General features: G+C 35.8%; 1 protein-coding gene across 17 annotated transcripts in view; it reads left to right on the top strand.

Annotated features, from left to right (window-relative positions):
• Positions 1–15,345, top strand: part of CLOCK (clock circadian regulator) — a 119,007-nt gene that overhangs the window by 63,737 nt on the left and 39,925 nt on the right. For all 17 annotated transcript variants that reach the window (XM_011534410.3, XM_047416432.1, XM_047416436.1 and 14 more), the window contains 5 exons: positions 345–434; positions 3,474–3,533; positions 4,210–4,358; positions 7,119–7,210; positions 12,367–12,456. In XM_011534410.3, the coding sequence (XP_011532712.1) occupies positions 388–434; positions 3,474–3,533; positions 4,210–4,358; positions 7,119–7,210; positions 12,367–12,456 (438 nt within the window). In that variant the 5' untranslated portion in view covers positions 345–387. The remainder of the gene's footprint in view (positions 1–344; positions 435–3,473; positions 3,534–4,209; positions 4,359–7,118; positions 7,211–12,366; positions 12,457–15,345) is intronic.

The following is a 15,345-nucleotide window of genomic DNA, read 5'->3' as shown; positions in this document are numbered from 1 at the left end:
CAAATATTTATTGCTGAATAGATGGTGTTATTACAGACTATTTGTAGTTATATAGTCAAATATATACTGAATATTGAGAATGTCCATTTTATTTTGATTGATAGTAAAGAGAAAGTTAATATGAGCCTGAATTACTTTTTTTCTTGTAGGTGTTTTTTAGGAGGGGAAAAGAAGCCTCAAATGTACCTCAGCCATAGGTATTTGCTTGAAAATAATGTTCTGATCTTCAGTACAAACAAAACGTTTTGAAGTCTCTGTGATAACATATAGTATTTCTCAAGATAAGTTTGTGGAAGTAACATTTTTAGAAAACTAATGACCATTTATTTTTCTTTTCACCTAAGGAGAAGTACAAATGTCTACTACAAGACGAAAACGTAGTATGTTATGTTGTTTACCGTAAGCTGTAGTAAAATGAGCTCGATTGTTGACAGGTATGTTTTTGAAGACTTATTTTAAGTTATATATAATTATTTTAAAATGCACTATTAGAATAATGGTCTATATGAAATTGATAGAAGGAATTTTATGCCTAAACATAATTACTATTGCATTCAGTTTCTGTATTAAACAAATATAGTATAAAAAAATAAGTAAGGTATATCAGTATTTTCCAGAGGCAAAGTCAGCAGCATATGGCTTGTGTGTTTTAAATGAGTCCTGACTTGTAATTTTTAGTGATTTGGTCATAGCTGCTCTGAAGGAAATTCTGACAGTTGCAAATGTTTCCTTGGAACCTTCTGGAGTCCTTTTTCTTCTTATCTAACTTCATCCCTTCAAGCATCTTAGCATTTGTGACTGATAAGAAGTAACTATAATTAGGATTTCATTAGTTAAAATTGTAATCTTTACATCATACTCTTGGGAAAAGGGTAAATCTCCATATTCCTTTGATTTTAATACTTGAAATTTTTGGAGGAGGGTGGAAGGGGGCAGTGAGGGTTAAAAAACTATTGGGTACTGTGCTCACTACTTGGGTGGTGAGATCATTGGTACACCAAACCTCAGCGACACGTAGTCTACCCGCATGAAAAACCTACACAGGTACCCCTGAACCTAAAGTAAAAGTAGAAAAGAAAAGACTTTAAGTTGTCTTTGTTTTTTACATTTTAGCATCTCTTATCATAATTTAATTGGTAGCACTCTTTTTTTCTTTCTTAAGGGCACATAAAATAGTGGTGATCTTAACAGTCAATAATATCTTAAATTTGATATAATCCAACAACATTTTTAAAGCATCTACTCTGACAGCAAATGTACAGAATACTTTTTTACATGTTATTTAACCTCAATAATTCTGCAAGATTTTACAAATGAGAAAACTGTAGGTCAGAGAGGTTAAATAACTTGTTTAAAGTCACATAGCTAGTAAGATATGATCTGGAATTTTTACTTGTGTTGGTTTGTCTGACATTAAAGTTGTTAATGCGTTTATTGCACTGTTCGGTGTGCTCCATCCATTGGGATTCTTTAAGAGTTTTGCAGCTAGACTTGTACACAGAAGTGACTTTTGACATCTGGGGACAGCTCTTCTCCCTTTTTATGAGCTAGATAGTAAAGATGTATACTCCACCAGAACTTAAGATGTGAGGAGCAAGAAACTTCCTTAAAGAAGCCTGCCTGCACCATGTCAATAGCTTTGAACTGTGCCATAGTTACAGGCGGAATTAATGATAGTCTTTTTCTTGGAAAAGATATTTCTTCACTGCCTTTGATGGATAAAATATGAATTTGGCATTATGCTTTTCCCATTCTAGATAGTATGACACCTAGGGATGACATTTGTATTTTCAGACATAAAGCAGTGATTATTAATATGGGTTCCTTATCTCTGAATGTCATGGAAGTTATGAACTCTGTTCTCGGAAAATTCATATACATATAACAATTTTTTATAAATTTCAGGGCCTACATGGAATCCCCAAGTTCATACATGCACCTCCACCATGATATGAGTGTTACAGGTGATCTCAATAGTGACTCCATTTTATAGCATATAGGCCTTTATAGGCCATAGAAAGGTGTGGCTAAAGGAGTGAATAGGGAATTTATGTAAAACTTCATAAATCAGCAGAAACTTTAATATTGCTCCTAGGGTTGAGTTAGCCACCAATGCTCTTGATTTTATTTTTTAGGAATGGTCTTTCCTTACATCTTCCCATAGCCAGCCCCTTCTTGTCACTTAGATCCTAGCTCACGTGTCCCCCACTAACCGCTCAGACTGCAGTTACTAAAACATCACCCCTTTAAAAAAAATTAAAACTCATCTCTTTTTTTTTTTTGAGACAGAGTCTCACTCTGTTGGCCAGGCTGGAGTGCAGTGGTACGATCTCGGCTCACTGCAAGCTCCACCTCCTGGGTTCACGCCATTCTCCTGCCTCAGCCTCCTGAGTAGCTGGGACTACAGTTGCCCATCACCACGCCCGGCTAAGTTTTTGTATCTTTAGTAGAGACTGGGTTTCACTGTGTTAGCCAGGATGGTCTCGATCTCCTGGACCTCGTGATCCGCCCGCCTCGGCCTCCCAAAATGCTGGGATTACAGGCGTGAGCCACTGCGCCTAGCCTCATCTCCCATTTTTATACTTGTTTCTATCTACTAGAAAATGAGGCTGGGTACGGCAGCTCACACCTGTAATCCCAACACTTTAGGAGGCTGAGATAGGAAGGTCATTTGAGCCCAGGAGTTCAAGACCAGCCTGGTCAACATAGCAAGACCCCATCTCTACAAAAATATAAAAAAACTAGCCAGTCATGGTGGCATGTACCTGTGGTCCCAGCTACTCAGCAGGCTGAGGCAAGAGGACTTCTTGAACCCAGGAGGTTGAGGCTGCAGTGAGCCATGTTTGTGCAACTGCACTCCAGTCTGGGCAGCAGAGTAAGACCCTGTCTCCAGAAAAAAAGGAAAAAGAAGGAAAAACTGTAGGAAAGCAGCTAAATGTCTTATTCATTGCTTACTAAACATGTCCAGAACAGAGCACATGAGTGCTAATACATATTTGTCAAATGAATTAGTAAATGAATGAAATGTATTAATATAAGTTAATGCATTACATTGTGATGTTTACGAGTAATTGTGGTTTTAGAAAGTAAATATCTAAGAAAAAATTTAAATTATGCTGTTATAGTTAAAAATAATTTTATATAATGGCAAACACTGACTTTCTATACGTTTTTACCGTTACTAAAAGTTTGAAACAAGATATTTAAACTGGTTAAATTCTTGTTTAGCATGATGTGTTCATAATATAGCTAAGTATAAATACTTTTACAATTTATGTAATAAGCTTAAAAATATAATTATTACTGAATTTTGATTTTTGAATGTTTACTAGGAAATAGGTTAGTAGTTTGAATGTTATAACTCATTAACTTTACAAAAATCATAGGGCATAACTGAGTTGATTTACATGTCACTTTAGTATTGCTGTTGCTTAGTGAGTCTGCTCTTACTTTCTCTATCCGCTTTCTTTTAGAGATGACAGTAGTATTTTTGATGGGTTGGTGGAAGAAGATGACAAGGACAAAGCGAAAAGGTAGTTTGATTAGAGATATAAAATAGTAAATGAATGAATAATAGATAAATATAATGGTAAATAAATAGTGAATAAATGATTTCCAAAAGCTATGTGCTTTAGGAGTTTAGATATATTAGCAAGGTGGAAGAACTTAGAATATTGGTATGTAGTTTATAAATTAAATATCTTCTGACCTTTTGGAAAAGTATTATGCTTTGCTTAAACAGAAACTGAATTAGAAAATCTGACTTCAAAGCAGATAATTACAGGTATCATAAAATGATTGTTTTATAAATAATCAAGTTTTTCTCAATAGCTGTTTGTTTACTGGTTACTGCTTCACATAGAATAGCGTCTTTATTCATTTAGTACATATATTTATAATAACCATGTAAGTTAACAATCACTGGAAGTATTAGATTGAATAAAACTTGTGATTTGAATGCAGTTTTTCTTATTGGCATTTTCATAAAAACATGTTTGTCAAATGTATGATTTGTAAAATTTTCTTTAGTAATAAACTGAGCTGAAAAATTATTGCCCAAATTAACTGTATATTGGTAACCTGGAAGATATTTGTTACCATCTATGTTGATAGAAGTACATGCTGTGTCATGTCTAAATTAACATTGTATTAAACTACTTGTGTAATTAAATGGATTGTTTAAAAAATGCATATTTTTCATTTCATCAGAGTATCTAGAAACAAATCTGAAAAGAAACGTAGAGATCAATTTAATGTTCTCATTAAAGAACTGGGATCCATGCTTCCTGGTAATGCTAGAAAGATGGACAAATCTACTGTTCTGCAGAAAAGCATTGATTTTTTACGAAAACATAAAGGTAAATTTTTAACTCTGTAAAATGGAACAGACTCTCAAAGCATTAGTTAGAATCTTGGCAGAGATGCTTAAGATTGGATGCTTCCTTGGCTTTTTTAAGAGAGAGAAATCAATTGCATTTTAAAAGGTTTCCTAATATGTTCATTCTTTCATTCAACAAACATTTATTCCGTGCCTACTACATGCTAAATCCTCATGATGCAGGGTAACAGTCCTGGATTTGAAGTTAAGTCAAGCCAGGGCAGACAAACATGTAAGCACATAATTACAAATGTGAGTAGTGCTTGTAAACTGTTTGCAGCAAAAACACAGGAAAGAGTATGTCAGGGAGACTTTTAAAATAGTTGATTTTTCAACTGAGTCTTTTAGATTAAGGAAGACAGCATGTCACACAAAGGGAATATGTGCAAAAGCAGAGAGGCAGGGAGACTTCATTGTCACTGAAGCATGTTTGTGTTGGAAAATTATGGGTGTATTTGAAAGAAAGGAAAAAGCTGGATAGTATAAAGTTCTTATGTGTCATTTTAAAAGGTTTCAATGTATATCTAGTAAATCAACACTATAAAATAAAGTATTTGTTAATAGAAGAAAATCATCTTGACAAATGAGTCATGGAAAGAAAATTTAAAGAATATTAAGTATTTTGGTAACAGATAATAATAGATTTAAAAAAAACCTGTAAAAGGAAATTTCCTTTTTCAAATGCAAATGAAACTGTAAAACTCAGGACAGTTAGTAATTAGTGCCTCTGTTTTACTTCTGCCTAGCTCAGTTGGTAATGCCTTACAGGACTGGTTTATGCTCCACCACTCGTTGAAAGTGTTTTTGTTAATTTCACTAATGACATTACCTTCCTATCCCTCAATAAAGCAATAGCTTTTTCTTATACCGCATCTTCTTCTGCATCTGTACAGCACTGGAAATTTTTATCCCTCCTCCCTTGGCTTCCCTTATATTGTACTTTCTCCTCCCCTTTTCTAACTGAAACTAACTTCTTTCCTCTCTTTCTACCCTCTAAATGTGACATTCCTAAGTCTTATCCTTGTTCTCTTGCTTTCTGTACACTCTTTCTCTTGCTTATCTCATTCCATAGCTTCAGCTATTGTGTCTCTATTAACCTACCAGATTTCTATTTTTAGATGCAAACATTTTAGCCATGTATTTCCAGATAACTTCTAGATCTTTCTTTTGCATGTCCTCAAACTCAGTGCATCTAAAATTGAATTTATTTTCATTTTGTCAAGTTACCTCTTTCTCTTAACTTGCCTTTTTTCATTTTTATACCACCATCCTTTTAGTCACCTAAGACTTAAACCTGAAAAAATTTTAGGATTTTTTTTCAGCTTCCTTAGCACCATATCACAGTTGCCAAATTCTGTTGATTCTTTCGTAAATGTGTCAATATTTATTGCCACCACTATTATTACATTTTACCTCTACAGATAGTATCTCACTAACCTCAGTGCCTATTGTTAAATGGCACACTCATTGAAACCAGTCCAAAGATACTAGGAGTTCAATAAATGGTTGTTGAATGAAATGAAATGCATATATTTCCCCGTCAATAGAGGATGAATTGTGGCATTAGGTAATTTTTTTTTTCAAAATCAGATACATAATTCTCACAAAAATAGTATTTCTGTTAAGGTAAAAGGATTTTATATATGTATCATCCTAAAATAGGCCTATGTTTAATGAAACTTGATTGGATTTGTTTGTGGATTTAAATCCTTTTCCCAAATGTATATAATTGATGTGAATTTGAAAAACACAACTGTATTCCGCACATTTAGTAGCTCTACTTCTTAGTTACTCTTCATATTCCACTACAGGCATTTCTAATATGCTAACTTTTGATGAGGGACAGTATGCTGTATTTCTCTATCTGATGATAAAATCAGAATTTAGTTTATACTTCTTACTACAAATTAGAGTATATTTTGTAGAATATAGTCTATGACATAGATTTTTATTCTGCCTGCTTGTTTTAATATGTCTACATTAAAAAATAGAAAAACATTTGTTACTAGGTTTCATCATTTATGAATAGCTTTTTCATAACTAAATCTATTAGAAGTATGTAGTGAAATAAAATGGTAATAATTGTGACAAACATATGTCCCACAGCAGGGATCTCCAAATTTTTCACCATCTCTCTACTGTTGTACAAGGAGGACACTAAGAAAAATCACTGTGGGAATATTACTGTAGTAAAGTTTTTGCATAAAATATTAATTTAGTCTCTTTGATTAATTAAGATAGAGCACTTAATGTTGGGAAGAAGCTTTTTGCCCAGCAGTAGGCAGGCCTAAGGCATTCTTTGTTGAAAGCAAACCTAGTGACCTCTTTGGCCTTTTTCAGCTAATTTCCCTAGTGCTGCTCTAGACATTGCTATTTGAATGGCAAGGGAAGGAAAAGGAAAAAAAGAATTGCTTCAAAATTCTTGGAGCAAAAATCTTCTTTGGTCATTGTGTCAAATAGGAAGCAATCTCAGGCCCATCAGCAACATAACTATCAGAGTACCAAGAGAAAAACCGAAGAGACTGGTATTACCAAGAGACCAAATCCAAGGAGATAACTTGCCATGTTATCTCAAATATTTCATCATACCAAAACCTGGACCTCTTGATATCTACCCAATAAATGTTAATGCCTACGGTTGTCATCTTTAATTAGAATGGGAAGAGACAAGATAACTTGTAGGGCTTTTGTACTCCTCCGGTGGTTGGAGTATGCCACTAATATGTCAATCTGTTTACAGAAATCACTGCACAGTCAGATGCTAGTGAAATTCGACAGGACTGGAAACCTACATTCCTTAGTAATGAAGAGTTTACACAATTAATGTTAGAGGTATGTCCAGATTTAATTTTTGAAAGTTTTATTTTCCTCAAAAAAGAAATCACAGGGTGACTTAATATCCAGGTGTACCTTGGCGATATTGCGAGTTGAGTTCCAGACCACTGCAATAAAGCTAATATTTCAGTAAAATGAGTCACATGAATTGTTTTGTTTCCCTGTAGTCTATTAGGTGTGTAATAACATTATATAAAAAATACTGATCATACCTAAATTTAAAAATACTTTATTGCTAAAAAATGCTAACAATCATCTGAGCCTTCAGCAAGTCTTAATCTTTTTGCTGGTGGAAGGTATTGCCTCAGTGTCAGTGGCTACTAACTGATTAGGGTGGTGGTTGCTGAAGGTTGGGGTGGCTACGGCAATTTCTTAAAATGAGTCAGCAATGAAGTTTGCCACACTGATTCACTCTTCCTTTCAAGATTTCTCTGTAACATGCAGTGCTGTTTGATAGCATTTTACCCAGAGTAGAACTTCTTTCAAAATTACAGTCAGTACTCTCAAACCCTGCTGCTGCTCTATCAACTAAATTTATGTAATATTCTGTATCCTTTGCTGTCATGTCAACAGTATTCACATCTTCTTCAGGAGTAGAGTCGATCTCAAGAAATCACTTTGTTTACTCATCAGTGGAGCAACTCCTCATCAGTTCGGGTTTATTAGCAGATTGCAGCAATCAGTCACATCTTCAGACTCCACTTTTAATTCTAATTCTCTTGCCGTTTCTACCACATCTGCAGTTACTTCCTTCACTGACATCTTGAACCCCTCAAAGTTATCCACAAGTAATCAACTTCTTCTTAACTCTTGGTAATGTTGATATTTTGACCTTCTCCCATGAATCAGAAATCTTCTCATGCCATCTAGACGGGTGAATTCTTTCCAGAAGGTTTTCAGTTGACTTTGCCCAGATCCATCACATGAATCACTATCTATGGGAACTGTAGCCTTATGAAGTGTATTTCTTAAATAAGACTTGAAAGTCAAAATTATTCCTTGACCCATGGGCTGCAGAATGGGTATTGTGTTAGCAGGCATGAAAACAACATTAATCTCCTTGTACATCTCCATCAGCACTCTTGGGCTACCAAGTACATTGTCAGCGAGCAATAGTATTTTGAAAGAAATCTATTTTTCTGACCAGTAGGTCTCAACAGTGGGCTTTAAATATTCAGTAAGCCATGTTGTCAACAGATGTGCTGTCATCAGATGTCCTGTCATCCAGGGTTTGTTGCTCTATTTATAGGGCATACTTCTTAAGGGCTTTGGGACTTTCAGAATGGCAAATGAACATTGGCTTCAACTTAAAAGTCACCAGCTGCATTTGCCCCTGACAAGAGAGTTAGCTTGTCTTTTGAAGCTTTGAAGCCAGCTTTGGCTTCTCCTTTCTAACTACGAAAGTTCTAGATGGCATCTTCTCCCAATAGAAGGCTGTTTCATCTGCACTGAAACTCTGGTATCTAGTGTAGCGACCTTCATCAATGATCTTACCCAGGTCTCCCGGATCACTTGCTCTAGCTTCTACATCAGCACTTGCTGCTTCACCTTGCACTTTTATGTTATGGAGATGGCCTCTTTCCTTATACCTCATGAACCTACCTCTGTTCTCTTCTAACTTTTCTTCTGTAGTTTCCTTAACTCTCTCTGCCTTCACAGAATTGAAGAGCATTAAGGCCTCTGGATTAGGCTTTGGCTTAAGGGGATGTTGTGGCTGGTTTGATCTTCTGTACAGACCACTCAAACTTTCTCCATATCAGGAATAAGGCTGTTTTCACTTTCTTATCATACATGTGTTCACTAAAACTTTTCTTTTTCATTCACAACTTTGCTACTTGTTTGGTTGCAAGAGGTCTAGCTTTTGGCCTGTCTCAGTTTTCGACATGCCTTCCTCACTAAGCTTAATCACATCTAGCTTTTGATTTAAAGTCAGAGATGAGGGACTCTTCCTTTCACTTGAATACTTAAAGGCCATTGTAGAGTTATTAATTGGCCTAATTTCAGTATTGTTGTATGTCTCAGGGAATGGGGAGCTCCAAGGAGAGGGAGAGGGATGGGGGAATGGCCAGTGAGTTGGTGGAGCAGTCAGAGCACACACAACATTTAAATTCGCCACCTTATGTGGGCGAATCACCATTACAGATATAATAATAATGGAAAAAGTTTGAAATATTGCAAGAATTACCAAAATGTGACACAAGAGACACAAAGTGAACACATACTATTAAAAAAAATGATGCTGATAGACTTGCTTGACCCAGGGTTGCTACAAACCTTCACTTTGTGAAAAAACAAAAAGCAAAACAAAACCCAGTAACTGAAGTTCAATAAAGCGAAGCACAATAAAACAAGGTATGCCTGTATAAATAGATTATAGCCACGTCTCAAGTCTGAAGCAAGGTAGAGTATTTTGCAAATTGAGTTATTTTTCTGTTTGTATTTTAGATGGGACAATTAATTGTGTGATTAATTCTTTATGTATTCAGCAGAAATGTTACCATACGAAAATTTGTTAGAGTATAAATATATTATAAACATTTAAACCTGTACTTTAAATCAGAAAAATAAGTGAATAATTTTTATATATTAACTCACTGAATCCTTACAATACTCTTATGAAGTAAACACTAGTATCTGTGTGTCATAATAGCTGGTATTATGAAGTAGACAATAGTATCTGTTTCTTGCTTTCAGATGGGGAAATTGAGGAACACTTGTCTTCTTTTTTTTTTTTTGGGAGACGGAGTCTTGCTTAGTCGCCCAGGCTGGAGTGCAGTGGCACAATCTGCCCACTGCAACCTCTGCCTCCCAGATTCAAGTGATTCTTCCGCTTTAGCCTCCCAAGTAACTGGGATTACAGGCATGTGTCACCACGCCGAGCTAATTTTTTTTATTTTTAGTAGAGACGAGCTTTCACCATGTTGGTCAGGCTGGTCTCAAACTCAGCCTCAGGTGATCCACCAACCTTGGCCTCCCAAAGTGCTGGGATTACAGGTGTAAGCCTGGCGAACAGTTGTCTACTTTTGACCCTATTATGAAATAATAATACTGGCATTATTGTACTAAAGGATTTAAAAAAATAATTCATGAGTTTGCTCGAATGACAAGATTTCTACTTCTATATTAGCAAAGACTGGGTTTGTTTGAGCCATTCTAGAAGATAGGCATCTACTTAAAATAAGTTCTTTGTGATATCCAGATCTCTTTCCCAAAAGAAGGGGGGGGACAAGGGGGAGGGGACCATTTTCTATATATTCGTCAATTACATAGAGTTAGGAAAGGTTACTCTAACTCCCAGCTCTATAAATTATATACTGCAAGTATTTTTACTTGCGCTACACTAGTGCTGCAGATACAAGGATTAATAAGATATACATGGTTCCTATCAGAGGTCACTATCCTTTTCGAGAGCCATTTAAGTAAACAAGAAATTAGAATTTAGTGTATTGACCATTTTAATAGAAGAATCCCTTTTATAGTATCTTTTGTGCTGTGTATCTTCTACTTCTTCTCCACTGGATCTTCCTTTCCCTTAGACTACAAATATACTTGCTCTTTTTTCAAATGCCTTCTCTTGATACTTCACCCCCTTAGAACTGTTTGCCTTTTTCTTCCCTTCTAAAGTTCATGAATGAGTGACTTGTAATAGCCTTCTGATTTTGTACTCATTTTTAAACTCATTGTAGTCCGACTTGCCTTCCTGTTAACATAACTTTTTGAAAATCACCAAAATTCATTTCTCATTTTCTTATTCTTTATCTCATTTTATACCAAACCATTCCTCTCCTCTTCACTTTGTCATTCTTTCTTCCATTGATTCCTTGACGACAGTGTATTCTGTCTTCTCTATCATTTTCTTTTTTGTAATTTCAATTTTTATTACTATTTTGAGACAGGGTCTCACTCTGTTGCTCAGGCTGGAGTGCAGTGACATGGTCGTGGCTCATTGCAGCCTCAACTTCCTGGGCTCAAGTGATCTCGCCTCAGCCTCCCAAGCAGCTGGGACCATAGGCATGTGCCACCACACCTGGCTAATTTTTTAATTTTTTTTCAGAGACAAGGTTTCGCCATGTTGCTCAGGCTGGTCTCAAACTCCTGGGTTCAAGTGATCTTCCCGCCTTGGCTTCCCAAATTGCTACCATCACAGGCGTAAGCCACTGCACGCAGGCTTCTCTGTCATTTTCTCTGGCCTTTTTCTCTTCCTCATCCCTTATATGTAGATAATTCTTCCAGGATTTGTCTTTTGTAGATCTCATTTCTTCAGCTGTCACTTCTGTGCCTAGGATTCTCAAATGAAAATACATTGTAGTGTATAAAATACAAAATTGCATTTTTATTAAGTCTTGTACTCCCTGCTCTGACTTCTCTTCTGAAATCGAACTTCACATTTCTCAATGCTTGCTCGAAGTACTTTTCTTTATTCCTAATACTACTGATTTCATTCAGATTCCCATTAACTTCCTTAATTAGTCCAAAAGCCACTATGATTTTCCTAACTGAATTTTCTTTTCCCTCTAAATCCATTTTACACCCTGCTTCCACACTACTCTTATTGAAGCACAGCCCCCTGCCCTAAAATCTTCTGTTGGCTTACCATTGTATACGGAATAAAATTCTTATGTCTTAACCTTATATTCAAAGCCTTTTATGATATGAACTCAGCCTAATTTTTCACCTTAATTTCCTGCTACTCCCTTTTATTTTATTCTTCATATATCTCCTTAAACTTCAGATGTACACCTCTGTGTTAACATATCCATGATAATAACAAAGTATTCCTTTGTGTGCCTACAAAACATTGTTGATGTCTTGTATGCTTTGGAGACATTAGCATCTTCAAATAAGCCATAATACTGTATATACATGATTGGATCATGTAATATACCTAGTGATGAAGGTAGAACATTGTCTCTATCTTTTAGAGACCAGTTGTCCAATAGATGGCCAGAGAGAGACTTTTTTTCTCCAGAAGCATTTAAAAATGAACAAAGATACATACCAAGGTATTGTAAAGGGGGAAAGCTAGTATTATATTTTGACAGAACTTTGGATATTTCCATATTAAATCCTTTGTCATTTATCTCAAATTTTTATTTCTGTCCTGCAAAATACTTTTTTCTTTTCATTTAACATATCATTATGTTTAATTTCAGGCTCTTGATGGTTTTTTTTTAGCAATCATGACAGATGGAAGCATAATATATGTGTCTGAGAGTGTAACTTCATTACTTGAACATTTACCAGTAAGTATAAAGATCCTACAATCTACTTCGTATTAAAATGCCTATTTTAAATATTCTAAAGCACTGGGAAGTGGACTTTGAGAGCAGTGTACAACAGTCGTTAAAGGGGTAGGAATCAGAGCTCTAAGTATGTCTTTGTTTCAGCATGTGTTTTCTCAGCTCAGTCATAACTAATCTGTAGTAACTTAATATTCAACTATAGTTATGCATCACTAAATAATGGGAATATGTTCTGAGGCACTTTTGTCACTGTGTGAACATCATAGAGTATACTTATAAAAACCTCGATGTGTAACCTACTACGCACTTAGGCTATATGGTATATATAGCCTGTTGCTCTTAGACTACAATCTGTACAGCATGCCGCTGTACTGAATACTACTATAGGCAGTTGTAACACAGTATTTATATGTTTAAAAATACCTAAACATAGAAAAGGTACAATAAAAAGTACAGTCTCAAAGGTAAAAAATGGTATACCTGTATAGGGCACTCACCATGAATGAAACTTGCAGGACTGGAAGTTGCTTTGGGTGAGTCAGTGAGTGAGTGATAAGTGAATGTGAAGGACTAAGACAGTACTGTACACCTTTATAGACTTTATAAACACTGTACACTTAGGCTACTTTATATAAAAATGTTTTCTTCAATAATAATTAGCCTTAGCTTATTATAACTTTTTTACTGTGTAAACTTAAAATTTTTTTTTAACTTTTTTACTCTTGTAGTAACACTTAGCTTAATACTTTGGGAAGCCAAGGCTGGCAGATTGCTTGAGCTCAGGCATTTGAGACCAGCCTGGGCAACATGGTGAAACCCTGTCTTTAAAAAAACATAAAAATTAGCCAAGTGTCGTGGTATGCACCTGTGGTCCCAGTTAATCCGGAGGCTCTAGTAGGAGGATTGCATTGAGCCTAGGAGGCCAAGGCTACAGTGGGCCGTGATGGTGCCACTGCACTCCAGCCTGGGTGACAGAGCAAGACCCTGCCTCAGAAACACAAATATATCATATAGCTGTACAAAAATATTTCCTTTCTTTATGTCTTTATTTCAAAAGCTTTTTTCTATTTAAAAAACTTTTTTTAACTTTTTAAACATTTGTAAAACTAAGACACAAACATACACACATTAGCCTAGGCCTACGCGGGGTCAGGATCATCAACATCACTGTCCTCCACCTCCACATCTTGTCCCATTGGAGGGTCTTCAGGAGAAACAATAGGCATGGAGTCATCTCCTGTAATAACAGTGCCCTTTTGAAATACCTCCTAAAGGACCAGCCTGAGGCTGTTTTAGAGTTAACTTAAAAATATATATATAAGTCTGGGTGTGGTGGCTAATGCCTGTAATCCCTGCACTTTTGGGAGGCCGAGGCATGCAGATCACCTGAGGTTGAGAGTTTGAGACCAGCCTGACCAACATGGAGAGACCCTGTGTCTACTAAAAATACAAAATTAGCCGGGCGTGGTGGCACATGCCTGTAGAATCGCCTGAACCTGGGAGGCAGAGGTTGCGGTGAGCCGAGATCGAGCCATTGCACTCCAGCCTGGGCAACAAGAGCGAAACTCCATCTCAAAAAAAAAAAAATGTAAATAGAGAATACTCTAAATCATTAAAAGTATAGTAAATACATAAACTAGTAAGATGATTGTTTATTATCATGTACATGTGTACTGTATATAATTTTATGTGCTAAACTTTTATATGATTGGTGGCACAGTAGGTTTGTTTACACAAGCATCACCACAAGCACAAGTGCAAAGGATGACTAATGCATTGATCTATGACATTACAACAGATATGACATCACTAGACAGTAGGAATGTTTCAGCTCCACTGTAATCTTAGGGCCACCGGTGGTCATATATGCAGTCCAATGTTGACCAAAACATTGTTATGCAGTGCAAGGTCTTACCACTTTATCTGACCCCTCTTCTTCCTGTCTTCTTTATTCTAATGCTAACTTTTTAGCGTTTCCATTTTAATCAGCCTGTTGAAAATGTTAAATCACTGAGAATGTCTTGAGAATAACTAAATTTCTGCTGAGATACTTGTTGCAATTAGGGCAACTTGTAAATATTTTTCTCAATAGAATTACTTATAAAAAACACTCTAAAAATAGTAGATACAGAACTTTTTATGCTATGTGACTTTGAACTGATAATGTCATATTGGCCATATTTTAATTCATTATCTATATGACCAGAAGGATAGAGAATTAGAAAAGTATATTTTGTTTCATTAGGATGGTGAATACCTGGTTTATGTGCTTACTTTTTTTCTAATGTGTATTTATTAATATCTGCTCTGTGCCAGACACCATGCTAGGTGCTGTGCCACAGCTGATAGGCTTTTGGGGGGAGTTTTCAGTTTTTAATATGTAATGATGTTATTGAAGATGGAGCTCATGGTATAAATATTCTAAAGTTACTTATAAACTACTCTTATAATGCCTCTCTCTGGGTGCAGTGGCTCACACCTTTAATGCTAATGCTTTCAGAGGCTGTGGTGGGAGGATTGCTTGAGGCCAGGAATTCAAGACCAGCCTGGGCAGCACAGTGAAGCATCCTGTCTCTACAAAAAAATTAAAAAAATAGCTTATCTCTATAACAGGGTAAAGTAATTCTGCTTGTAAGTGTCTCTTTCAAGAGATACTGAAAAGTGGTATTTCTCTCCCTCTGATTACTCTGATACTTCATACCTTATAAAGAGAATCAATGGATTTTAGCACTTAAAAGTCCAGGCTCTCAAGGGGGCATTTTTTAAAGTTGAAAGCCATGCAGTACATAATTTGCTAATTTCTTTGGTTCATACAGAAAATAACTTTGACTTTACTGCTCTTCTGGGGCTTTATTTTCTAGTAAGCTCAAATAGTAGGATAAGCCCAAC

Source organism: Homo sapiens, chromosome 4 (assembly GCF_000001405.40).
Source record: "Homo sapiens chromosome 4, GRCh38.p14 Primary Assembly".
NCBI lineage: Eukaryota > Metazoa > Chordata > Mammalia > Primates > Hominidae > Homo > Homo sapiens.
The sequence above is the reverse complement of the archived record's forward strand: the minus strand, read 5'-3'. Positions and strand labels throughout refer to the sequence as shown.